The following is a 27287-nucleotide window of genomic DNA, read 5'->3' as shown; positions in this document are numbered from 1 at the left end:
TGGGAGCAAACCACATTCCAGGGTGTACCTTCTAATCCTATCCCAATTCTATCTCTTCAATGTTTAATCCAATGATAACACTCAGACTTCACATTACTATTCTCTTTTATTGAAGTACTATTAGGGAGAACTAGATTCTCCTACTCTTGAGAGCATTGCATGTGTCCATATCTCATTAAAAATAATAATAAAAACATATTTGACCTATTTGAGAAATCTGTCAATAATTTTCTTTTCTTGAAAATTATACTCAAACATACTGGTTTATTCCAAATATGCACATTTTAAAGGAATAGCTCCTATGTATTCATTTGCATCACTGACAAATATCTTAGCAGAATAATAATAAAAAATATATCCTCAATTAAATAATGAGAAACCTCCAATAATTAGACAAATTTCAACTTTTTGTACAGGTTCAAAGCCCTTTATGGAAATTGCTAAATTCCAAAGCTTTGAAACTGAACCATTTTCTTTTAGCACATTTTGCTTTGAAACCTGTCCTGACTTGGACAGATGTGAGATATAGTTTTTATTTTTGTGTTGAATGCAGATATTCACGTTTTATTGCAAGGATGCTGATGTACTTGATTATATGTTACTGCCTTACATTCCATTGAAAATATTACATAACATACACTGTGTGTTCCTCATTTCCCTCTAAAATATGGAAAACTGAACTCTGAAGCACATTTGACTTCAGGGGCTTCAGATACAGCACTGTGGATCTGTATTAATTTCTAGGTTTTTTTTTTCTAGCTTCTCTATTAGGAGATTATATTTGACCAAGTCAAATGTTGCCATAACATTCAAGTATTTTACAGAATACTGACTGATCTTGTTGCTCTATTAGTTTAGCAGTCCCATCTAAGGAGAAAATAAGTGAATTTCACTATTTGTTTTTTCTTTTAATCTAACTTTTAAAGCCTATAAAAATACAATCTAGGACCCTCCTTTTCTTTTTTGTATATTAGAATTGTATTCTAAAAGATTTCAGTTTTTTATTAGAATTGTTTTCTCATCAGTACTTTGCAAATGTTTACTTAGGTTGTGACTTTGTTGTCCTCATACTTCATTGATAAGTTTTTCAATCTTTTATTTTCCAATTGACTTTTAAGTTAAATCATTTATTTTTGTATTATGTCAGTTTAATCCAGCTCATTTGGACTGGAGAGGCGAAGACAACACATAGTTGGATAGAGTGATAAGTTGACGTTATAGAACTGAGGTTTCATGCTTTTATCGACCATTTACTCTTTGTACAAATGTATAAAATTTTATCAGCCTTCTGTCTTTGAGTCCTCATCTAGTAAATGAAGATGACAGGGAATTCTCTAAGTTTATTTCTCACTATGACATTCCATTATAATTAAGTTTTACTGGTCACCTTTCTGACATAATCTATTTGATAATGTTGATATGTAGGATAACATCACTGTATATAGAAATTAAAAGTTTCTAAATATGCCGTAGAACGGACTGCAGGTTTTATTTCTTTAAGGTCAATACTTAAATTGTTTTGAGTATAGTTTGGTGATTTACATAATTATATTGAATGAACACTGTGGCTTAACATAAAGATATCAAATTTTTCTAATTTCTAAAATTCGTGTGTAATTTTTTTCAAGATAAGTCCTATTTGCTTGTAAAAAGAGAAACGATTTAAATAATGCAAGAGACATGAATAAAACATATCAGATGGTAAAGAAATTTCCATTGTTGGATTTCCTTAGATTATATTTTTAGCAAATCATATGAATGGATTTTCTTTTATTTTACAAAAATTACAAATAGCTGTTTCCTATAATCGAACTTTATACAATCAATGAATACATTTTATACTACATTGTACCTTTCTAAAAATCTGATTTTTGATAACTACTGGAAGAAATACAGTCTGTTATGTTAGCATATCTTATATTAAAGTGGTTATTCAAAGTATTGTTCTGTGAAAACTAATGCACTATGACTAGTTCTTCCCTTTCAGTCAAATCAAAAGAATCAAAATGAGAATTAAAAAAACTTGCCCACGACATGTGAACTTATAGCTTGAGTCCTGTTTTTGCCATTGTATATGAATGCTTTATTATAGGAAATAAAATTTATTATTGACATTATAAGAGGTTAATATAATATTACTTAAAAACTCAAATTTTCTACTTCTATTTCTGGCATCTGTTAAGAATTAGGCTCACATTGCATTCTCTTCCTTGGCACTGTTCACGGTTTCAGCTTTACTGTTTAGGCTTTAGGTTATCTGTCTTCTACTTCTGGCCCCAGTCATGCCCCTTAATTAGATCACCACACAGCTCAACATCTTTCTACCATTAATTCATTCAAACACCCATACACATACACACACACACGTACTCTTACAGACCTTCTTACAAAAATTTGGAATTAGATGCTATTTCTTCTGCCTTGGAGTAAAATTTTGATCTGGTTTTTAAAGACATGACTTATTTGGTTAAATATAAAATAGTCTTATGCCACGCTTTTGTTATTTAACACTTCAAAATTAAAACTGGAGATTCAAACCAAAGTAAGGTACTGAGGTTATATAAAAAAACATTATATTAATTAATTAATATACCCAGTTTCAGTTGAAATACTCTTCATTTTCCCTTTATTCTACTATTCATATGAACATTATGCCTACTTATGAGCAACACTTTTTTCTCTCCTAGGAAGAGTGGAAGATAAGAGTGCAGGGTAAGTTACATTTATTTTTATGTCTGTTGACCTGCATTGTATCAGAGTCAAAAGGGAAGAAACGTACTCACCTACGCCTCTCGCCTTTTGGGTCATCTCCCACATAGACACACAACTCTGAAAATGACATCATTAGACACAATAGATAGAAAGAATAAACTTAAATCAGAAAAGAGCTCTTTAATTTCTACTCTGTCATAGGCAACTGGGGACAAAAATGAAAACAGAGAGGCCTGAAAATACTAGTGGAATATCTTTCTGGGGTCTGAGATTGAATCCTGTGAAAGAGAACAAGTAACTTCCACAATAGAGGTGATATTAACCTATCCTTTACTCTTCCTGTCACAATCTACATTGATAACTGGTAGTGTGTCACTATTATGGCATCTTGAGAGGGAACATTTACTCTTCCTTGGTTAGTGCCTTTCTCCTTATTGTCAAGGGTAACTCTCTGTTCACCTTTGCATTTTTGCTTGACACAGCACATATCTCAAACTAACATGCCATTCACTAATCACCATGGAATTAAATTTAGTGTATATCAAAATTTTCTAAAGGGGGAACCTTTGTGAAAATTATCCAGTGGCTTTAATATTAAGGTGCTTATGTATTTCATATAAAACATCCTCAAAGTCAGCATAAGCTACAAGTCAAGCTTCATGATGGCTTTTTATAGCTACAGTATAAGTTTCCCCAAAGTCAGAGTCAGGAAGTTAATTTTTTTGAAAATGCAATTTTGAAAATTTTGTTAATTGTGTGACCATTATATCATCCTGTTTTACATATATCGAGAGAAGTGATGAGAGATAGAGAGAAAAACTGTTGATAGTGTTATTTTATATCTAAATAAATATAAACCTAAAAATAATATTTGAGATTATCTTGTATAATATTTTAGTTATTTTTATAGTTTTTAATTATAGAAATATTTTAGGTATTTTTATAATTATTGTCAAAGCAGCTAAAGGTTACATTTAATATTGTACAATGATTAAAGAATGATTCTATAGTAACTTTTGGGATGGGAAAATATTTTATCCAATTTCAGTTGAAGTACTCTTCATTTCCTCTTTATTCATTATTCCCTATATGGGAAGATATTTTAGAGATTATTAACTTGGAATCTTTTCATTTTACAGTTTTGATTTTATTGTGAAATCTTGAGGAGTGAAGTTATAATTTTTCAAATTACCTATACATAAATATAACCCACTGATATTTGTTTTAGAATTACTTTTGTAATTATACTATATAAATTATAAGGAAAAATTTGTAACAAAATCCCGTAGAACGTTATCTTTTGAAATATTAACTCCTTAACTCCTCTACAATATATGTTATATTTTACAAGTCTCTTAACATAAAAGTAAATGGATTAATTGCATTTCCATGTATTTTTATTTAACAGTTTTTTTAACAGTATTTAACAGTTAAAATATATACCAAGAAGTCATTAAACATTTTCAAAGGTAAGCATAAAAATTACTTAAACAAATAATGAAATTGTTGAATATTTACTTTTCCAAATCACATCAAGACAATCTGTTGATAAGACAAAGCTGATTTTATTCTTACCACTGCACGTGAGTGTATTACCATAACAGAGACTTTAATAGTAGGGCAGAGAGGAGAAGGGAAAATTGAAACATTAATTGAAGTTTTATGTTTTTTAAGTGGATTTATTAATGTGGGCAATGTAAGACTTCATTAGGATTAGATAAGGACCCTGGATATGATAGTTTAGGATTACTGGACAGAGCAAAAGAAGGATTAAGTGAAGTTATTTGAAACTTACCTTCCTAGGCAAGAATTTCCTGGAATGATAAAGTTATGTCGTTTAAGATGTTAATGTAGACAGTAGGTTGTTTGCATGGAGGCTGTTTGTGTCTCACAACTCTGTGGTTTTGTTGGAAATGGAGAAAAGCCCAAAAAGTTAAATAAATTGTCCAAGGTCTTGTATCTGTTGGATAAGAGAACTAGAAACCGGGTATTTTCACAAGTAAAATTTCAAAATATTTCATATTTTGATTTTTTGCTGAAAAAATCCATTGAAGTCATTTACTTTTTAATGAAAACATGGTAATATAAAAACCACCATTTAAAGAAGTAGCCAGTTTAAACAATATTGATTATACAGATTGCTTTGAGCAATACTCAGGTGAATATTTGCCTTCATAAAATGGGCAGATATTGTAAAACTTCTGTAACTTATATTGTAATCGCTTATGTATCTGATAGTATTACCCAAGGCTATATGTTTGTTGAGAGTAAATATAGTATCTTGTTTATTATTATAGTTTCAGGATGTAGCACAAAGACATGTGCATAACATATGCTCAATAAATACAATAATGACACAATAAGAGCTTCCACCAGATGGCACCCAGTGTCTGTAGTTCAGATTAACTTATCTGCTTATTTTCAGCTATGGTCAATTGAGTCAATTGAGTCTCATGATTCTATTTGCTTGATATGATTTTCAACCAGGCATATTTCCTACATTTAATTATTTGTTAAATTGTATGAGATGAATTATTCAGATAATTTTATTTAAGAATAGACATTTTATTTAAGATCATTTTAAAAAAATGATCATAATGCACCGTTATATGACCCACATATTTGCTATTTATAATTCAAAAATTATAAGAGATGCAAATTTGGATCTCCTTTCACTCTTTTTTTGGATCTTATAATTTAGCTTGAATAAGTTTGTCCCATAGGTATGGGTGATTTTTATCTAAGAAGGTCATGGGATGATTGTCCTTTTCTAAGATTGTTGACCACATATATTTTAAGATCCTTGGCTCTGGCGTTGTCCACCTATGGTTTGGTTCATTACACTAATTGCTCCCTCTTTGACCTTTGGTTAATCTACATAAAATCAGAACAGAACAACAACAAAAAATATGCTTCTGATTCAATCGTCCTTTAATTCCCATTTGTCTATATCTAACTAGGCCAAATGATGTCCTCATATTTAAGCATATGTTAAAATATAATTTTAAAAATAGGATATAATTATGACTTTCCTAGAAACATGAAATAAGCAGGGCAAAAATTTTATTTAACTCATTGATGTGGAACCAGTATTATAACTGGATCGAAGGATAATTCAATCAGGAATACTGAAGTGAATTCACAAACAGATGGGTAACTAATTTACTCCATCATGGGGAAAAAATGATTCTCTCCCTACCTTACAAAATCTATTTTGTCTATGGACAAAATCATTTGCATTTTATCAGTTATCTAAAATTCACAGGGTTGTGAAAAGCTCAAAGGCTATGGGAAGTGCAGCCTCCATAAAATAATATAACCAGGGTAGATGTGCTTAGATTATGCCATGTTTCTCGTTTCTCTAACAATAAACTTGTCATGCTACAAGTATGGTACTGGAGGTAAGGTTTTGGTTGTACAATTGATTTTGAACTAAATCCTGGTAAGAAGGAAGACAAATTTTTATTTACCCATACAAATAAGTTTCTTGCTGTGAAAAGTAGAGACAGTAACAGATTTTGAATCCTGGGGTGCCAGTAAGAATTAGATGTCATTTAAAAATGTTACATTTTAGTTTACAAAAACATACATCATGACATTGTTGTGAGTTAGTTTATCTAGAAGATTAAACATTAATATAAAATAAACAATAATTCTAACCAACTAACCATAATAATATTTTCCTAATTTGTTCACTTATTCCTATATAATTATTTTTTGGTCTGCTCGATCTCACGTTATCAATCTCAAGAAGCTCTCTCTGCCTCAAAAAAAAAAATGAGTTCTGGAAATCCTGACACAGTTCAGTAATGTAATCTGAAAGTTGTCTAAGTGATGTCTATTCACAAACTTCTTAGCCAAATGTCTATTTTTTAAAGTGTCAAAAGTTTGAAGTATCTAGCTCAATCTTATTCCACACATTCTGGCTGGTAGTCTATATACCTTTTTCAGGCAAGCATCAGAATAAAACAATATTTGTAGAGGATAGAGATTTAAAATGGCTGTGTTAATGCATTATTGATAACTTTCAAATGTGAGAGGACTGATGCAGTTTCATAGTAGGAACAATTTCATTGATCAGGAAATTTGTTTTTGTTGCATGCAAATAATAAAACCATTCCAAAAAGAAGTTAAACAAACTATACTTTTTTTCTATTTTCTCCATCTAAAATAATCAAGGACATCATGAAGCAGCATGAAGTCTTCATAGAGCACAGAAAACTATACTGTTAAGTCACCAAATCTCTGCTATCTAGGCAGATTAAACAGAAGATTTAGAATTTTTACATTAGGGGCAAAGGCATTAGTTAGTATAGCATGGAAGGAAGCCCATCAAATTGAACAAACTTTGCAAATATTTAACACGTTCATAGTTTTTCAGGCTTGGGTATTATAAATCAAGGCAAATAAAATTAATTTTCCAAGTTTTTACCTTCATGGTGCTTGTTCATATTCCAGGAACTGACACTTTACTGTAGGACAAATCTTGGGGCTTCTGAAAGGTCAAAACTAATTTTATAATAATAGTAAGATGTTATTTATATTAATATGAAATGCATTCCTCTTTGTATGTTTAAGAGAAACAATAAATATATATATATTTAAATTTCTCAGCTTTAATGTCTATAGTGTAATGCCTATCATTATAACCTAAATAGACAGAAGCTCTTTGGGATCCTCAATAAGTCCTGAGAAAGTAAAAGAGTCTTATGGTAAAAAAGATCAACAAAAAAACTTGAAAAAGAACAACAAAGAAACCTAAAGAACCATTATTTTGGGCTGGGAACGGTGGGTCATGCCTGTAATCTTAGCACCTTGGGAAGCCAAGGTGGGCAGATCACCCGAGGTCAGGAATTCGAGACCAGCCTGGCCAAGATGGTGAAACCTTGTGCCTATTAAAAATACAAAAATTAGCCAGGCGTGGTGGTGGGCATCTGTAATCCCAGCTGTTCCGGAGGCTGGTGAGGCAGAATCCAGGAGGCGGAGGCTGCAGTGAGTCGAGATCTGGCCACTGCACTTCAGCCTGGGTGAGGGAACAAGACTTCATCTCAAAATAAATAAATAAATAAAAATAAATAAATAAATAACCATTTCTTTAGGTGAAACTAATGTTTGCTGGTAAAACAAAAAGACATGGTTATTTTACTCTGTCAATATTACTCCTAGTGTGGTCTTTACTACTCATATTAGTTATAATTTTTAACCAAAGTAACTAATTTCGCAGAAAACCGGGGTGGGGATAATAGAGAACTTTCTGTAGCTCATATTTTAGCAGACTAGAAATGCTCAAGAACACATATAATTCAACTTTTTACAGCACACACATCTTTTTCTCACCTTTATAAGTGGCAAAAATTTAACATGTTAATTAGCATGACCAAAACTTATAGCCTTTATATTGTAAACAAAAATTAAAAAGTATATGAAGGAGCAATTACAAGATTGATTTCTACTTTTCAGAAAATTGCAGGTCAGAAGACAATGGAACGAGGTAGATAGGTAGATAGCATAATAATTTCAGATTGTGACCATTGCTGCTAGGGGAATAAGGAGAACTGAAAGGGGAAAACAGAAGGGAAGTAATAGGAATAGAAATGGGTCTAAAAAGGGTTATAGTAAGAGATGGTATCTCTGAAAAGGTGATACTGAACTGAGGCCTGGAATATGAGGTTGGGCCATATAAATGCTGAAAGGGAAGAAAACACATTCCAGGCAAAGAAAATAGCAGAATCACTCATCAGAAAAAGGACTTGGAAGACAAGTAACATGATGTTAGAGGGTGTTAATCTTAGATGAGGTTAATAAGAACCCAGAAAGTAGATCGTAGAGGCTTTCAATGCCACAGTTAAGTTCAGGTATTATTCCAAATGCAGTGGGAGATCATTGAAAGTTTATAATCAGAGTATAATTGATTGATCTGTATACTTCTTAAAAGGTTCCTTGACAGTCTGAAGAGAATGGATTACAGAGCAAATAATAGCAGAAAGAAGAGAGCAGTTGCAATATTTGCAGTGGTCTATGAAAAGTAGGTGAAGATGTGGACAGGGGTCCATAAAACAAAACTAAAAACTTCCACCTTCTTTAATTCTAATTTGGAACAATATTCCGAACTACTCAGTTCGTTAATGATAACTAGGTTAATGAAACAATGTATTCTAAAATAGATTTTTTTGGTCTCTATTTCTTTTCAATAAATTTAACACTATAATTGATATATGTTTATGAAACATCTTATAAACTATGTATTTTTCATAAAAATTAAAAGCAAACATAGACTATGTTTATAATTGATGGATACAGACAACTAATCTTTTGCTACAGTCCCAAATAACATATATGACCATTAAGTGTGAATTTTAGGTAAATTTCAGCTTCTGGATGGTTAATCCTAAACTGTACCAGATCCATTATTTTGTTTGTTCTAATGGCAAATGCACAAATTTCCACAGATGGATTAAATTAGTATTCAGCTGAGAAACATGAAAACAGGATCATGCCTCTATTTAGTCCTGTAGACTCAGAAGCTTTAATTCAGTCCCACCTCTTAACGTGGCAGTAGAACGATAGGCAAAAGCAGAGAGTTCTTATCTTGTTCAAAAAGTATCAGCCCCGAAATGCCATGTTCTTTTATGCTGAAATTATAGACACTAAAACACACATGGTGCCTTAGAGGATGGAAATTTCAGATGGATAGATGGTTAAAGCTTAATAATTTAAAATCATGGATTTCACTTTTGTATTGTGTGATATGGCCTCTGAATATCACCATTCTTTAATGGCTCAAGGGTGAGTGGAAAATTTTGAACAAATAAGTTGCCAGCTGCATGTTATGGCCCTTAAACTAACTTATTTTAGAAATAGAAGAAATATACCTCTAAATGGCAACCAGAAATTGCATTGTTTTCAATTGGAGTAGAATTTCATGACTGCACTGTTGTGTTGAAGATGCAATTTCTGTTTTTTAGGTAAGAAAGCTATATTTACTGGGCCATAATTTGACTCATGTGAATGAAGGCAGTAGTAAAGTATGGATAGAAAGATTATGTTTTATAAAAATTATCAGGGATTTACATATTTGTTTTTTGCAGTTTTGTTTATTTCTAATGCACCATTTTTCCTATTTGTGTATATATATGAACATGTTTGTTAACGGTGTTCTCCTAGTACCTTTAGTATAGTCCTTTTAATAGCATTATTTGGTTCTTATTTTGGAGTGAAATAAATGTACATTAGAGGTCGTAAGTTTAGAAACAATTTTTTCTTATGAATTATTTCAGCATTAGAGATAAGCTTTTGAATAACATTTTCAAATAAAATGCATCATATTGCAGACTAATATTGATATCATTTGCATTATCTGGCAGAAAAACAAATACAGTGACACAGCAGAAAATTCTCTTTAAAAAAACTGTGGTTTACTTCTACGGTTTCTGAGCATGTGTGTGTTCATTTTCCCCAGGGATTTTTTTCATTTGAAGTGAAATCTTCACATTTTTCAGTTTAATAATTTATTAATATGATTATTTTAAAATAAAGAAGGCCAGGCTCACACCTGTAATCCCAGCACTTTGAGAGGCCGAGGCTGGCAGATCACTTGAGGTCAGGAGTTTGACACCAGCCTGGCCATCATAGTAAAACCCCATCTCTACTAAAAATACAAAAATTATCTGGGCATGGAAGTGCACACCTGTAATCCCAGCTACTAGGGAGGATGAGGCAGGAGAACAGCTTCACCCAGGGATGAAGTTTGCAGTGAGCTGAGATTGTGCCACTGCACTCCGGCCTGGGCAGCAGAGAGAGTCGCCGTCTAAAAATATAAGTAAATAAAAATAAATTTAAAAAACAATTAAAATAAACAAGAACACTTACAAAATAAAATTTCTGGATATTTTCTTTTAACCTTGCATACAAATATTTGAGGGTGACCTACACATAGAGAAAATCAAATGCATTTACAATCAATTAATTAAGCAATAGCCATACTAAATGTATTAGTCAAATTTTCATTACATTTCTGGAATTATTTTTATTAAAAATAATGTTATGAGAATTCAGAAATGCACTATGCTTTTGGTCATGGTCCTCAAGCTAACATTCTTTCTAGAGAGCTAATACGTAGTATGTCATAAATTACCTATTTCCTGAGACCTTCCAGTAATTACCACATTATCCTATATTTCTATGAGACATTATATTACTCAACAATAAGCTTGATGAGTAAAAAAAAAACACTTTATACAATTATCATTTGAACAGGATAAACAGATTTAAGTAGTTTACAGCACCATTAATTTGATTTCTTATAAATTATACATTGGGATTGAACTGTTTCAATTTATAGGTTGACTCCAACAGTGAGAAACACAGCAACTGGATTCCTTGCTTCATAAAGCTAAATTATGGTTTTTGTCAATACTTTCAACATTTCACACTGAGAAGAAAATGTAGTATGCCATCACTGCTTTTGAATCTGATGATCTTTGAATGTCTTTGAGAATTGGAAATTATCCCTTATAATAGTTGAAGTTGCACAGCTTAAGTAAGAGAAACTCACGTGTAATACCAAAATATATTTTAATTATACAATTTAGCTATGAGGCTTTGACTTCTTCCCTCTTCCTACATTATTTCTCTACCCAAAATTGGGACTCTGAACTTTACCATCTGGCTTAGGCACACTGAGCCCCTTGTATAAATCTTACCTCAGTGCAAAGAAATGTAGATAAAATTGCCCCACATTGTAGGATTGAATCTTTCCCTCCTATATTTTTCTAATTCACCTTGACTAATCCTTCATTTCTGGTGACCTGTGTTCTATCTAATTTCTAAGAATAAGTAATAAACTGTAAGCAGTATTAGCAATTAGCTCTATGTCATGGTTTTCTCTTTTAATCACATTGTGCACTTTATCTCCCTCTCCCTCTCAAATTTGACTGCTGGCAAAGTGCCTAATGAAGAGCAAAACTGACTGACTTGAGATGTTTGAAAATGTTTTTTCTCTGATTCACCTAACCTCTGGTAAAAGTCAAATTTGAAGTAAACATCTATATTTTGTGATTAATGCTGACGTCTTCATGGGGAAAAACAGATGAGAGTAGGTTAAAGTGAACAAGTTTTTCTTAGACGTGTCCTAACCTTCAAATGTCAAGAAAGTATCTATAGATATAAAATATTTCTAGAATCTCATGTAACAAGATTATGTTTTGTTATGTTCCTTAAGTATATGTTTGAGACTGTAAAAATATATACTAGTAACATAACCCTTTAAAAACCAGGTAGATGTAATTAAAATTTTGGCTGGGCGTTGACTCACATTTGTAATCCCAGCACTTTGGGAGGCCAAGGCGGGCAGGGCAGATGACTTGATGTCGGGAGTTCGAGACCAGTCTGGCCAAGATGGTGAAACTGTCTCGACTAAAAATACAAAAATCAGCCAAGCATGGTGGCAGCTTCCTGTAATCCCAGCTACTTGGGAGTCTGAGGCAGGAGAATCGTTTGAACCCAGGAGATGGAGGTTGCAGTGAGCTGAGATCTCCTCATTGCACTCCAGTCTGGGTGACAGAGCAAGACTCCTTCACAAAAAAAAAAAAAAAGGAAGAAAGAAAGATGTAATTAAAATTTAAAAATCTTTAGATAACTTGATACAATTAGAATAATATTTACAGTAAGTAATGAATATGTCTACTACAAACAAACAGTGCAAAATTATATTTGCTGAAAAGTAAGTTTTCATCTCATTTTGGAACTCAACTCACTGGTTCTCAGTTCTTTATTAGGGGAAACCATGACTTCATTATACAAAAGTCTACCATATTTTTTGTAGTGGTTGCATAGTTTCCAAATTATGTAAAAACCACAATTTATTAAAAACATTTTTCTAGTGCTATACATTTAAATTCTTTCCAGTCTATGCTGAAATGAGTATCTTTGCACATATGCCTTTGTCCACAGGCACTGACATATCTGTAGAACAAGTGTTTATAAAGACAAAAAATTATATGCATTCTCAATTTTAATATTGCTTCCAATGGCTTTATAAAGTGACAGCTTCTTTAAATTTGTGTATCTTTATTGTGAGCTGAGTTCACAAATCTTATATTTTCTTCATATATGTTGACTGAATGAGTAAATGTAAAGTAGCTAAAGCAGCATCTGATTTATAGCAAGTATTCAACATTTTCCTCCATTATTTTCAGCAATAGTTTAAAAAGGTTATTTTGAACATATTTTTGTGATCTTAAACCTAAGGCCTTTAAGCTTTGATTTTAACAAACATGTATTGAGAATCCAATTAAATGCTTTAAATTGTATTTCAAAAAATTTACTTGGAAAATATTATTGCAATAAGTTTAATATGCATTTGTTTTATTAGTATTATTTTAGTTGACCCATAATCATTGTACATATTTATGGAATACCATGTGATATTTTAATACATATATACAATGTATAAAGATCAAATCAAGGTAAGTAGGATATGTATCATCTCAAATGTTTATGATTGCTTTGTGTTGGAAACATTCAAAATAATATGCATTTTATTAAATTAAAGAATGAATAACTGGGAAATAGCTGATGGAAGTAATTGAAAGAATAATTTTTGGTGGGTGTTAAAGATAGAATCTTGATTGCACAATGTTTTAAATGAACACAAACAAGATAGAAATTTCAGACGACCTCTGTAGTGTCAACAGGTAGAGAATAAGACAAGGTAAATACTTTTTTTCATTAGAAAAAAATACGAGTTTTTTTGGGGGGGGATTATGAGGTATTGATAATAAAGAAAAAGAGATAGAACTAGAAGGCATCCTTTTCCTGAATAAAAACTAAAATAATTTTTATTCATAGTATATTTTAGTATCAATAGACAAATTAGTTTTCTATTGTTGCTGTTAACAAATTACTACAAACTTAATGGCTTAAAACAACGCAATTTAGAGATTGTGTTAATGAAAATTCTTGTTTTTGTTTTTTGTTTTTTTATTCAGGAAAAGCATACCTTCTAGTTCAATCTCTTCCTCTTTATTGCCAATATCTCATAACCAAAAAACTATTCTTATGTTTTTTCCTACTGAGGAAAAAAAAATATTTGCCTTGTCTTAATCTCTTTGCTTCTTGGCACTGCAGAGATTGTCTGAAAGGATCTGGAGGCCATTATCCTTGGCAAAGTCACATAGGAACAGAAAACCAAATATCACATATTCTCACTTATAACTGGGAGCTAAATGACAAGAACACATGGACACATAGAGAGGAAGAGCACACACTGTGGTCTTTTGGGGCATGGGGGATGGGAGGAAGGAGAAAATGAAAAAAAAAAAAAACCTAATGCATACTAGGCTTAATACCTGGCTGATAAAATAATTGGTACAACAAATCCCCATGACACAAGTTTACCTGTGTAAGAAACTGGCACCTGTACCTCTGAACTTAAAATAAAAGTTAAAATAAAAATCTGCAATTTATTATTTTACTGTTTTGAAGACCAGGCATCTAAATAGGTCAGAAGGCTGCACTCCTTCTTGAGGCTCTAAGGGATTTTTCTTTGCTACCCAAACCCTCATTTTTAAAAATGTTGTTAGCAAATATTTTACATACTCATTAATTAATAAACAATTATTACCTTTAACAGTGAGTCACAAGTGAATCATTTAAAAAGGAGATTTCCCTGTGCATTTCAAATAAAAACTTGTTTCAGAAATGTGATTTACATTCAACTATTTTATAAGTATCACACAGAGTGGTTATTGTTGAAAGGGTGTACAAAATTGATTTTACCTGTATGACTTATTTCTTTATTTTTACATGTAGTTCTTTAATAAGGCCTATATTTAGTACTCACTTTAATACTAAGTGAGTGCACACAGAGTATTTTAAAAGAGTTTAAAATTCACAAGAATTTATTTAAATAAGATGTTAGAGTCATGTTCTTTATTCTATTTACAATCAAAAGACACAAGCACCCTGGCCAAATAGTAGAGAACACAATTTTACATACGCTATTTATAAATATGTCTAGTTTTTCATACCCATAGAAATTAGATAAATATAAGTGTTTTCAAATCTCATCTGAGAATTTTATTCTATGTAATACACAAAGTCTTTGATGTCAAAGGTATAACACTTTAACACTAGAAAGAATAGTATACAAATACATACCTGAAGTGTAAAGATAAGAGAGTTAACCTTAAAAAATTTCAACATCTGTGGAGATTACTCTGATGTTACAGGCAGAACTGGCTATTTTATATTCATTGTATCTTTTAATTCTCATACTAATCTCTGAAATAACTATCATTTGGACTCCCCAAGAGATATAAAAGAAAGTTAAGTAACTTGCTTACAAAATAATGTTCCGTTAATCCAGAATTCAAAATTATAATACTCATAACACAACTGTCTAATTTTTAATTAATTAATTAAATAATTGGTATTCATAGGCATAATTGTAAACTAATGAAAACTATGAGGAAACAAAATTATTTGGAACATGGCTTTGTATAAATATTTAAATTGTAATAATTTGATAACCCTACCACCAGAGACAACCAAATTTGTTTTGTTGTATTTCCTTCTACAGACTGAGCATCCTAATTGAAAAATCTGAAATCCCAAATGCTCTACAATCTAAAAATGTTTGTTTGAGTGCCAACATGCCAATCAAAAGAAATGCTCATTGGAGCATTTTGGATTTGGAATTTTTGGATTAGGGACGCTCAATTAGCATAATGCAAACATTCCTAAAGCCAAAAAACACCAATATCTGAAATATCTCTGGTCCCAGGCATTTTGGGTAAGAAACCCTCAACCTGTCTTATTATCTTCTGGGCGTAGTACATGCAGTGTAGATTACAGTTGTCTCTTGTTATCTGTGGGTATTTGTTTCAGGACTCCACAAATACCAAGATCCAGAGATGCTCAAGTCTCATATAAAATGGCATAGTATTTGCATGTAGTCTACATAAAGGTGAGACTGGGAAAATTTTACTTCTTCACTTAGAAACAATCCTCGAAATTATACTCTGCCTTTGGATATATATTTTTTCATTACACGTTTCCAAAATAAAGGATATATATGAACTTTTACAATCCTCAGATTTTATTATAATATTGAAGATATGAATGTTTCATTTTTCAAGCAGCATGTTATTCATATCAAAATATAATTGCAGAACTTTTTTTGCAATACTGACATTGTATATGCCAATGCATTTAAATTTTTGCTGATTAAAAATAAAATGCTGGGCTTTTTGTTAGTTATTGGCTTTTCATGAGAGTCAGATTTATTGGCTTCCTGTTGAAAGGAATACCGTTAGAGAGGAAGATTTTATTGCAATGATTTTGTTTAAGCCATTTACCTTTCAGAAAGGCACAAATCAACATTGTTTGGGTCTAATGGTTATTGATTTGGAAATAATTCTAACAAGTATACTTATTTAAGGTCAAACAAAGGTTTTGCCAACTTAGCTGTTGTGCAACATTGTACGTGGCTAAGCCTCTTTTCATTTTACTTTAATTTGGCTTACAGATCATGTTTCTAGTAAAAGGGGTGAACTGGAAGTCTTTTCCATAATATGCAATATTTCCTTGTTAAATATGTTGATACAGACCCATAGTAGAAGGAATTGCCATTCTTTCCAAGTTAAAAATTCACACTTCTTTGAAACAAGTGAATTGGCACTTTCTTAGTTCTAGCATACTGTGAGCTTTCTCCATTGTTGAAATAAATTGGCCACTAGAGATTGATTGAGAATATGAAAACGCTGTTCATTTATTAGGAGGTATGCTATGCTTATGTTGAGACAAAATCTATGTGCTTGCCAGCATCAGTCTACTGAGTTTTTAAGTAATTGGTATTGCTTTGAAATTGTTAAATCATTTCAATGTACAAGTATAGATCTCTTTTCAACTCATATGTCTTTTAAATCTAACTTTATCAATTATTTTATATCTATGTAAACTGTTATATAACACTTTTAGTTCATAGGTTTCATATCCTTCTTCTGTTCTCCAAAATATCACCTTCAAACTATCACCTATATTGTCTGTCATTATTTTAAACTTTGTTATTTTCTTTTGCATTCTGAGATTTTCAATATTTTCCTTTATCTCTTGCTATTTGAAGTGTCAGTTCTCTTTGTGTTTGCATTCAATCTGATTTTTATTTTATTGCTGCAGTTCTGGTTTCCTTTAAATTTTTCCTCTTATTCATCTTCCCTTTAATTGGATCCTGTTTTCTTTCTCTGACTCTCCTCACCTCCCAGGGTGTGCTGTTTCAAACAGGCCATGTCATCATACTTACTTCTTTGCATACTATTGATACAATATAGGCATTTCCTTCTGTTAGAAAGGAAAATGCTTTCTAAAGTTGACTTTCTAAAGGTAATATTTCAGAGACTTCTAGATTTAGTTTGCCATGATCTGTGGTATTTTTTAGAGCTTCTCTATAATTGTTTTTATATGATCTAATCTTTAAACGCTAAAATTCTCAGTTATTACAAAAATATATTTCTACTACTCTTACTGTTCACTGTTTCTTTCTTATATGTACAGCAGGAAGGTAGTCTACCAGTTAGAGTTTCTAGAACAAATTTCTATAAGACATTTCTTACTGGGGCAAAGTTGGGATGTTATACTAAGCCACTACCAGCTGCTTGACAATCTGAATTAAAGGAATGTATAAACCTTTAAAGTCCCTATGACAGTATCTTACTAACAATGTTCGTTCTCCACTTTTCCTCACTGTATTTCCCTTTGTACAAAGACTCTACCTCCAATTTTAAAATGCTCCTCTGTCAACATCAGGTTGTTTTCTGAGACTTGACATCTCTTAATGGGCCTAGAGGGGCAACAAAGGGGCAATACTTATGATTATGAATGATTGGAAAGCTGTAACCATTTGTATATTTTATGCCGCCCTCAATAATTTGACTATATAACAACACATTCCAGAAAATACTGAAGTAATATCCACAGTAGAATTAGAATGAAGGTTAGAACTCACAACATAGGAAGTTTTCTTTTGTAGAAAGAGGCAGGAGAATTAAGTTCTTAATCTATATTCAAAAATATAGATATTTTTGACTATATATATTTTTGACTATATATATTTTGGACTATATTTAAAAATAAAATACATATATACCAACAAAAAAAGTCCCATGTGTGGAACTCCCATCAACTAGGAAGTGAAATGTAATGTAATATTTAAGAATGTGAAGTCAATAAAAGAACAGGTTATGAGCAAGTCTGAAACTAGGTTAACATAAACTTGCTTCGCATTGCTTAAAATTGGATTACAGTGATACAAAATTATAAAATCCCTATAAGAGAAAAATAATGTAATGTAAAACAAAAACTGTCATAATGATAAAAATAAAATCCTTACATCTAGCACCAGTGCCAGGAGTTGTGTGTATATGTATGATAGTTTAGGGTAGGGGGTGGAGGAGTTGGGAGAAATACGTAAAGTCAACAGTTTGAGAAATTCACTTGTGAATAGAAAAATTTGAATAAATAGTTCATTCTTTCATAACACTTTATTCTTTATAATGTCTTGATTATGCTATATTGAATGTATAAAGTATAAGTCAAAAATTAAAGTAATTCGCAACATTTTTCTTGTCAAATTGCCAAATAAGTAAAGGTAAAATAATGTTTGGCATTGTATGCTGCCAGTGCCATAGTATTATGGAAGGAAAATTCTACGCTATCCTGTGAACATATTTAAATATTTATAATGTTTATTTAATACTTTCTCACTGACTTTATGTTATGTAAATAAACAGAAAACTCAAGTCAAAATTGTGGACTGGGGGCTGCCTTAGACTCTGTTCCATTCCTAAATACTAAAATGTGTGGTGATTTTTTTAAATAAATTGAACTCTATAACAGTGAAAAAGAAATTTTCAGCTGTCATAAAGTAAGAGGTAAAACCCCATAGAAGAATGTAGGAGTCATAGGAGTCATAGGGCCCTTAATGACTATTTGGTGCTTTAATGCCTTCCTGGGGAGCAGAATACATGTCTCGAATGCCTCCCCACAAATAACTGGAATACACGTAAACATAAAGTATTGCTCATCTTAGAAAGTAGCATGAAGGGTCTGGGGTCTAGCAAAAATCCCTCCCTTATTTTCTACTGAGAAGGATCAATGGAAGCTTACTGCCTGCCTAGGCTGCAAGTGGACATCTGTTACTTCAAAAATCAGATGAGAAAAACTAGTTTTTCAAGGATTCTTAAAAATATACACAATGATAATTTGAAATATAGTAATAATATCTAGCATTTTAACTTCTGTAGAAGTTACCAGCTTTGTAAGTCATATATGTCAAAAGAAGATTGTAATATGGAAAAACTATTTTAATTCAGCCATAAATTACAAACATAAAACAAATGCTTAAATCTAAAAATATTCAAATACTCTAGTTTTCGAATGAGGTTTAGACTTTAAATTCCCTTCTTGCCCTAGTCTCACGCTTCAAAAAGCGAACTTCAGCTCTCTTTTTCTGGAAAGTGGCCTTTTGTGATAAACCAGTATGTGCTACTTACAGATGAAAAATCATCCCTTATAAATTCTAGAAATCCTGCAGCTACTCTGGTGATTGGTATGTTTCTAGTTACCTAGCACATCAGGGAACATTTCTGATGAATTTTCAGCATATGTCCTAAATGTGTCATCTTTCATGTTGACTTCCCTAGAGCAGGTGTCAGTTTTCATCAAGAGTTGCTTTGATGGTTTCTGAAAGTTTAAATAATCCAATAATACAGGATTGAATTTTCTGATGTCTTTTCTGAGGTTCATAGAGAATCTGAGCAATATGATCTTCTCAGTTCTAGATTTGTTAATATATTCAAAATATGTCAACCATCTCTATGCTGAAAATGACTAATCGACCACATTCTAAGGCAAGCAAGAGTATGTATTCATTAATATCATTGGTCACATTTAATGGACGCAGGCACACTTTTAAATGCTTCGTGTCATGCATTGTCTTATTATACCTTGAATTAACCACGAGTTAAGTACCACTATGATTTGCACTATATAGATTAGAAGGCTGAGATGTAAAAAAAATGTTAAAGAATTATCCTCAGGTCAATTATTAAGAGGCAGAACTGGCACATAAATTCAGTCATCTGATGAAATACCAGTGTCACTCTGGGAAACTTGGACAGGAAAGCTATACTTCTTAGAAATGGGTGCTAGATGGAGACTTATTAAGTAGCCAGCAAAAAGATAAGGAGTAAAGTGGTCTCTAAAATAGCAAAGAAGAAGAAAAGAATGCAAGGAATGTCCACAAAATAAATATAAATAAGTAATAAAAGTAGTAACTGGAAGTCTGATGATTTAACATTATGTTAAACATTTCATAATCATGACCACTTTGATTTTCTCAAAAACTATAGCTAGTAAACTTTTTCAGATGAAGAAATGAACTCGTGAAGTTAAAAAATTTGATTTGTCTAATGGCACAGAACTAGTGAGTGGTGGTGCCTGGATTCAAATCTATCTATCACATAGCAACTACATGTCTATATTTATTATATGGTCACATAAGTGACATGTGATATTTATTATATGGTCACATTAATGACTCATTCCAAGAAATGATGCCGATATTCATAACATAGGGAATCAATTACTTTCATAAAACATCTCATTACCTTGTTTTATTATGGTCATAGTTATATATAGTTATAAATTTCTATAGAGATTAAATAAAATAACATGTAGATCCATTTTTAGTATGACTTTTAAAACATTGCATCTTCAACAGTTTATCAGTGGCCTAAGTAGTCTGCCAAAACCCAGAGTTACCCAAAAATCCTAGTTGCCCTTTATGCTACCTCAACTGGCAATAATAATAATAATAATAATAATAATAATAATAATGAGAATCTTGTTCAAATGTCCTTCACTATTATCTGTGAATAGGCTACTTGTTATTGTAACATTTCAATGGCAGCTAGTACACAAAACATTTGTCTTAAGAAATTGGACAATTGTTGTGAATACATATGGAGAATTTAGTGATTAGCAATTTATTGGATTATAACAGGAATCATTTTTTTTCTAGTTACAATTAGTATTGGGTTAAATATTTGTGCCGTTGTGAGTAGAATAGTTAGTACCAAGGTGATATATGTGTCATTCTTTTCATACTAAGTGAGAATCATGCAATTCTTATATTTGCTAAAGTCATAGGGTCAAGAAACTGATACCTCTGGACTCAAGAGTTTTCACCCAACAAGCTTGTTCTGACCTCTTTCTGGTAACTGAAATAGAAACCTTTAGATTATGGAAGAGCCGAAATCTCCCTGGAAACATTGTCTTTTTCTAACATTCTCCTTTATGCATGGCAGTCTATAAAATTTAAGCTGTTTTTGTCATTCCCTTAAATGAGATAGCTGATGATACCTGGATAAGTGACAGAATTTGTGATGCTTCAATTTTCAAGTATAAGATTTTGCTGAGGATGATAGTTTGAAGACTACATGATAGTTTGAAGACTACAATTTTCTACAATTGGAGCATGAAAGTTGCCATTTCTCCAAACGGAAAGTTTTCAAAACTTAACACTTTACTAAAGTTATATGGACAATTCAGACATTAATTAGAAATGATGTAGTCCTGAAATAGTGGACATTTTTTGTGAAATGTGAAATCTTCTTTTAGAGGGTAATGAATGGATCACTTTGGTTAACTTAGGGTTACAAAGTGATTGTTTGACATTTGATTTTGGCCTACTCTGATGATGGTGGAAAGTCTATCAAACTGCATTTACTTCCTGAACCAAATCTTTTCTTCTCCCCTGTGAATAATCAGTTATTGCATTCTTCCAAGCTCTGACAATCTACAACTTTTTGCACACATGCTATATATTCTTGTTAAAGGTGTACATTCAGGGATGGTAACACAGACTGTTTAGTGAGTGTGATATATTGGGACAATTGAAAACTTAATTGTGGCCAAAGATTGACAGAATATATCAACTCAGTGGAATAGAAAATTCTTAGAGCAGCTGTTTGTGTCCATCCTTGCTTCAAGACACTAATACACGCTCCTTCTTGAATAGCTTTAGTTTTTAAGACATGACCACCTGCAAAACCATCTGTTTGCTTATTTAATCTTATTTAAGTTTCATATATAGATTTGTTATAAATATGAATCTACTTTGGTCCCCAAATTTGGCTTGCTTGCAAACATATTATACCAACACAGCTGATATTTGTATAACCTCTCAAGAAAAACAAATGCCAACCCCATTTGAAACCAGTCTTTGGTTTCATTGTCATATTGACCTGGGAGTATTTTTTTTTTCTAATCAGGGATTCTTTTTTTCTTCTAGTTAACATGGTTTGATACACCAGTATTTTGCTTTAACATTCTGTGTATTTGTGACTATTGTTTCATTACTAGTTTCTTAGAAAGTTAATGTGTGTTGTGTGTTTCTTAGAAAGCTAACGTGTGTGTGTGTGTGTGTGTGTGTGTGTATAAATGTATATGTGAATATAACGTTTTAAAACTAGGAACTGAACAGAGAAAATGTATGAGAAACTGGATGAAGGAGGTAAGGTTTTCTGTCTTTGTTCACTTGGTGTCAGCTATCACAAGTTGGTATAAGCTACTTCCTCAGTTTAGTTTTATTTCAAATATCTATTCATTATACAATATACAATAAAAATACGATATTTTTAGAACCAAGTTTAGGTATATTAGGTGCTTATTACTCAGCTTCAAACTCAATTATAAATTACTAAAATGATTTTTATTTGATAAATGTGACCAATAATTTAAACTTAAAATTCATATACATTTTATGTTTTATAGCCATAGAACCAAAATAATAAAAAGAGACATGCTGTATTTACTGATTTCTTAACTCTTAATTCAATCATAAATTGGTGTCTTGCAATGACAGAAATTTTTTTGAAAATTAGCTTCAGTTTTTAGATTAATTTTTCTAAATGTAATGCTTTTGAAACATTCATTTTTTATTTCCCCTTTTGATATGAAAAGAATGCATGCAATCAGAATTTTCTAATATTGGAAGTTTAACTAAAGAGAGAATATTAATTTTAAGATTTGCTTGCTTTGTTAGACAAGTTAAATGACCTCCAGCTTATAAATGGTATCTTACATAGAAAATATAGAATAATTCAGATTTTGTATGAAAATCATTTAGTATCAGAAACACAAATACTTTAGGAAGCATGATATGGATAGTAAAAATCATATAATTTAGTATTCTTAGTAAATATAAAAGCTCAGAGGAATATTTTTAATAAAAATCCATCGTACATTAGTTTGGGCTTGAAAACAATACAATGAGTGTGCCGAGGTGCTTTTTCTTTTTTAAATTATAGCTGGGTTATGAAGCCAGAGTATGAGGAGGATCACAATATTCCCTTCATACCTTACGTAACTCCTCATACACTGATTCCAGACAATAATATACACAGGATTCTGTAACCAAAACTCAAGCTCAGTTTTTTGCTATGTTGTTTTTCTGTTTTGCAGATTTTCACATAAAAAATATATATCTAATTTCAGGACAAATTATACCTAAAAGGATTTATTTCACATTTTAAAATTGGCCAGTTTTATTTATTTTGGGTGGTTTTTATCATGATCAGAGTAGAATATCTACGATGTGTTCAGATACGTGTAATGAGAAGGAAAATTTAAACATTTACCAAGAATGAAGAGCAAATTGCAAAATTGTAAGATATGGAAAGGAGAGTTTTAAACAATAGAATAGAAAATATTTGGAATACGGGGTCACAAACGTAATGTGACATTGACTAACATTTTAATTCATAAAAAGAATAAGAAGGCTGGGCAGTGGCTCATACCTGTAGTCCCAGCAGTTTGGGAGGCTGAGGCGGACAAAATGCTTGAGCTCAGGAGTCCGAGACCAGCCTGGGCAAGTGATGAAACCCTGTCTCTACAAAAAATACGAAAATTAGCCAGGCATGGTGGGGGGCTAAATATTCTAGTGAGAAAAGAGGGAGAAACTACAGCCCTGAGACTTTTAGCTAGGATGTTAAAGGCATTGGTAGGTCAAGACTAATCAGGCAAGTCACTGTGCTGAAATCTCTCAGGAATTAGGTATACTTAACCTCAGAACTAGATGCCCAGCAGAGGGATTGATTGTAAATCTGTTTTATTCCAAATCTGCACTTAATAACTAATTATCTAAATTCATAGAGGAAACTTCTGTCTTTATATCATGTGTTATCTGGCTGCCTTTAAATTGATCAGAATCGAGTTGAATAATAGCTATCAATCATCTTGCTTTCCAAAAGGAAACAACTATTTTTGTAAGTTATTAAAAATGGCACACAGCTTCCAATATTTCTTTCTTCCCTCTCATCATCTTCATATCAGCAAATATATAATTTGTTTTAGTTTAGGAGAAGAAAGTACCTTATATCATATTAAAATAGTCTTTGCATTTATAACAAGTTTTTTAAAAGTCTATATTTTTATATTGTTTGCTATTCAAGCCCATCTATTTTAACTTTAGAGATGGGCCAATTATTTAGCATTAAAAACATATGCTACAGTAAGTGCCAAGTATGTTTGTATCAAGTATGTTGGTATCAAATATCAAAATAACAAAGACATATTTAATTTTTTGACAAATAACTTCCTGGGAAGTATTAAAACAACAGCAAAAATATTGTATCAGTAATGCATAGCTTAAATATGTAAATATATGTTATTGAATAAAGGCTGTACAATAAATATTAATAGATAATAGGTATATTGTATTGATCGATACAAGAAGAATTCTGCCAAATATTTACTGTAAAATTAGAGCAATACAAATGCACAAAATATGTATTTCTGTATTTGATCTTTCTTCAAGGAGAATGAAGTCCAATGATATAATTTTATTTCTCTGCCTTCTTTTATGGCAAAATGATTTTTTTTTTGTTAAGAGCCAGATAGGTTTTATATTTTTTTTCTCAAAAATCACCTCTTAAACGAGTTTTATTTACCTTAGTTTGTGATTTCATTTTAGTAGATTTTTACTGTATTTCAGAAAATTGTTTTTGTTCTCCATTTGAATCTAGGGCATTCTACACAATTCTGAGGTGTAAGTTCCTTAGCAACAGGAAACATGGGGAGCATCTTAAAACTAATTTTAGTTTCTGAAGTAAGCATATCAAATAAACCATGTATTTAATCCTTTACATATAACTCCTCTGGTTTAGGTACAGTGATGAATCCAGAGAAACAGATAATCCCAAATTGCTTGGATCTGGAGGAAAACTTCCGGTGTCTCTACTTACTGAGGTATTTCCTGTTAACAGGCACAGGTTATCACTGCAGCTAAAGACTCCGGTTCTGGAGTAATACTGTCAATAGCTGCAAAACCTGGGATTAAAATAATTTATGGTCTCTAAGCCTTTGTTTACTTATTTGCAAGTAGTAGATTATGATAGTATTATTTAGATAATATGGGATAATATGTGTAAGGCACTTCACGGTGACTAGGGTATATTTATGCTGAATAAATGCTTACATCATTATTACTTATCTCATTTATGTTAGAGACATAAATTCTTAGAAGTATAGGTTGTTATGAAAGTCTGTGGACACCTACTACACTATAAAAGCCTTTCATGCTATGCTAATGAGTCTATGTTCTATTTCTGTTTTTGAAGTGTAGTTTAACCGCTGAAGTTCATGGTTATTTCTTGAGCACACACAATGTGCTAGCAACTCCTCTAGGGGCAGCAGTTATGCCTAGTGTAAATCACATTTTTTCTCTCATGGGGCTCTTGGGCAAGTGGTGGCAAGGGGGTCATATAAGCACTATTACCATCTAGTGGATGTTTATTAGTCAGTCAACAGATTGAAAACTTGGCAACTTAAAAATATAGAAAAAGCAATTTGTGCATAATCCAAGCAGAGCTAAGAATTCTGTCTTATATAATGATTAATATTTACCTAATATGGGTGTGGAGGAGAAATAAGCAAAAATAATTTAATGACATGAACCTTTGAAGGTGTTTATAGTTATTGAGACAACCTAATGGATTTGTGTATTAAGGTAATCATCACTTAATTAAGATTTCATGTGGTGTGCCATATGTCAACTTAAAAGGCATTCAAGGGGGACCAAAATGTATTTTAACTTAGGAACATATTGAATGTGGCTGAGACACAGTAGAAGAAAACCTGTAAAATAAACATAGACAATGTGTATATCATGGAACATTGTTAAAAATATATATGCAAATATATGTATGTATATTAATTTAAGAAACGAGTTCTTACTCTGTCACCCAGCTTGGCGGACAGTGGTGGTGTTATAGTTCACTCACTGCATTCTCAAACTCTTTAGCTCAAGTGATCCTCCCACCTCAGCCTCCTGAGTAGCTGGTATTGCAAGTGCATGCCACCATACCTGGCTGATTATTAAAAAATGTTTTTCTATAAGGGGTCTTGCTATATTGCTCAGTCTGGTCTCAAACTCCTGGCCTCACATAATCCTCCCACCTCAGCATCCCTATTTGAGTTTACAGACAGGAGCCACTGTGCCCAGCTGAAGATTTTTTAAAATCTGAATTATATTATATCTAGATTTTCATTTATACAGTGCTCATATACATATGTTTAGTAATCCTTTAAAAAGTAACAATTATATTTAGATAAAAGTTGTTCCCTGATGTGTTTGTTTAATATTTATTTGGGCTTTTTTGGTTTTATTTTGCTATTCATGCTTAATTAGAATTGAAGCCATTAAATATTTATCATTAATCCATATAATTTATATGTTGAAGGCTTGCAAATTAGTGGAATTCAGTTACACAATATTTATCCTTGTTTTATCATGCTTCTTCAACATATAGTCACTTATGTAGAGATCATGTTATGAATTCATATCCTGATTGGTAGTAATTCAGGTAGGCGTGTGCTTCACCAAGATTTACTTAACAAACTTTATTTACTTAACAAACTTGCAGATGCTATGTTAGAGGAGAACTGCTCAGCCAGTTGATGCAAAAGAAAGATGCTGTGTCCTATATAGATGTTGGGAGGCAGGGTTCTCTTTATCACAAATTCAACATGAATTTTGATTAAAAGTTTTACATGTAGGTCCAATTCTCTGCAATTTATGTATATAAATCAAATTGAATACATTTTTAACTAAGCACTTAAAATAGTTAATTAATCTATTTATAGTCTATAGTGGGTAAAGAATAGAAACAGACCGAGTCTGTCTTTAGTCTCAAGACAGAGAAATCTTACCAAATATTTATGATTACTAGAGGTATAAGATTGGCAACAAATGTCATGACAGCAGCTCCTCTTCTATCTTGATTTGAATGCTTCTCAGAGCTATCTTTAGTTGTTAGTTCCATGAGTATGGGAGAGACTGTCATTTTTCAAACCAGTATTAATCTCCCTCTGCCTTAGTAACATTGCTGTCACTCGTAAGACTGTATTTGTTGCCTTGCTGCAGATTGGGTTGCCCAGTGAGATGTAAATGGATATTGGTGGATGCAACTCTTTAAAAGAGCAAAGACTCAACTGGGAGTATATTCCCATTTGCC

General features: G+C 31.8%; 1 protein-coding gene across 14 annotated transcripts in view; it reads left to right on the top strand.

Moving 5' to 3' along the window:
• Positions 1-27287, top strand: part of BRINP3 (BMP/retinoic acid inducible neural specific 3) — a 380207-nt gene that overhangs the window by 35966 nt on the left and 316954 nt on the right. For 4 of the 14 annotated variants that reach the window (XM_017001127.2, XM_017001128.2, XM_011509472.3 and 1 more), the window contains one exon: positions 2688-2712. The exons of the other annotated variants lie outside the window; for them this stretch is intronic. In XM_017001127.2, the coding sequence (XP_016856616.1) occupies positions 2688-2712 (25 nt within the window). The remainder of the gene's footprint in view (positions 1-2687; positions 2713-27287) is intronic. 14 annotated transcript variants of the gene reach the window in all.

This window comes from Homo sapiens, chromosome 1 (genome assembly GCF_000001405.40).
Source record: "Homo sapiens chromosome 1, GRCh38.p14 Primary Assembly".
In the NCBI taxonomy this organism is placed as follows: domain Eukaryota; kingdom Metazoa; phylum Chordata; class Mammalia; order Primates; family Hominidae; genus Homo; species Homo sapiens.
Note: the sequence above shows the minus strand (reverse complement) of the source record. Positions and strands in the feature narration are given on the sequence as shown.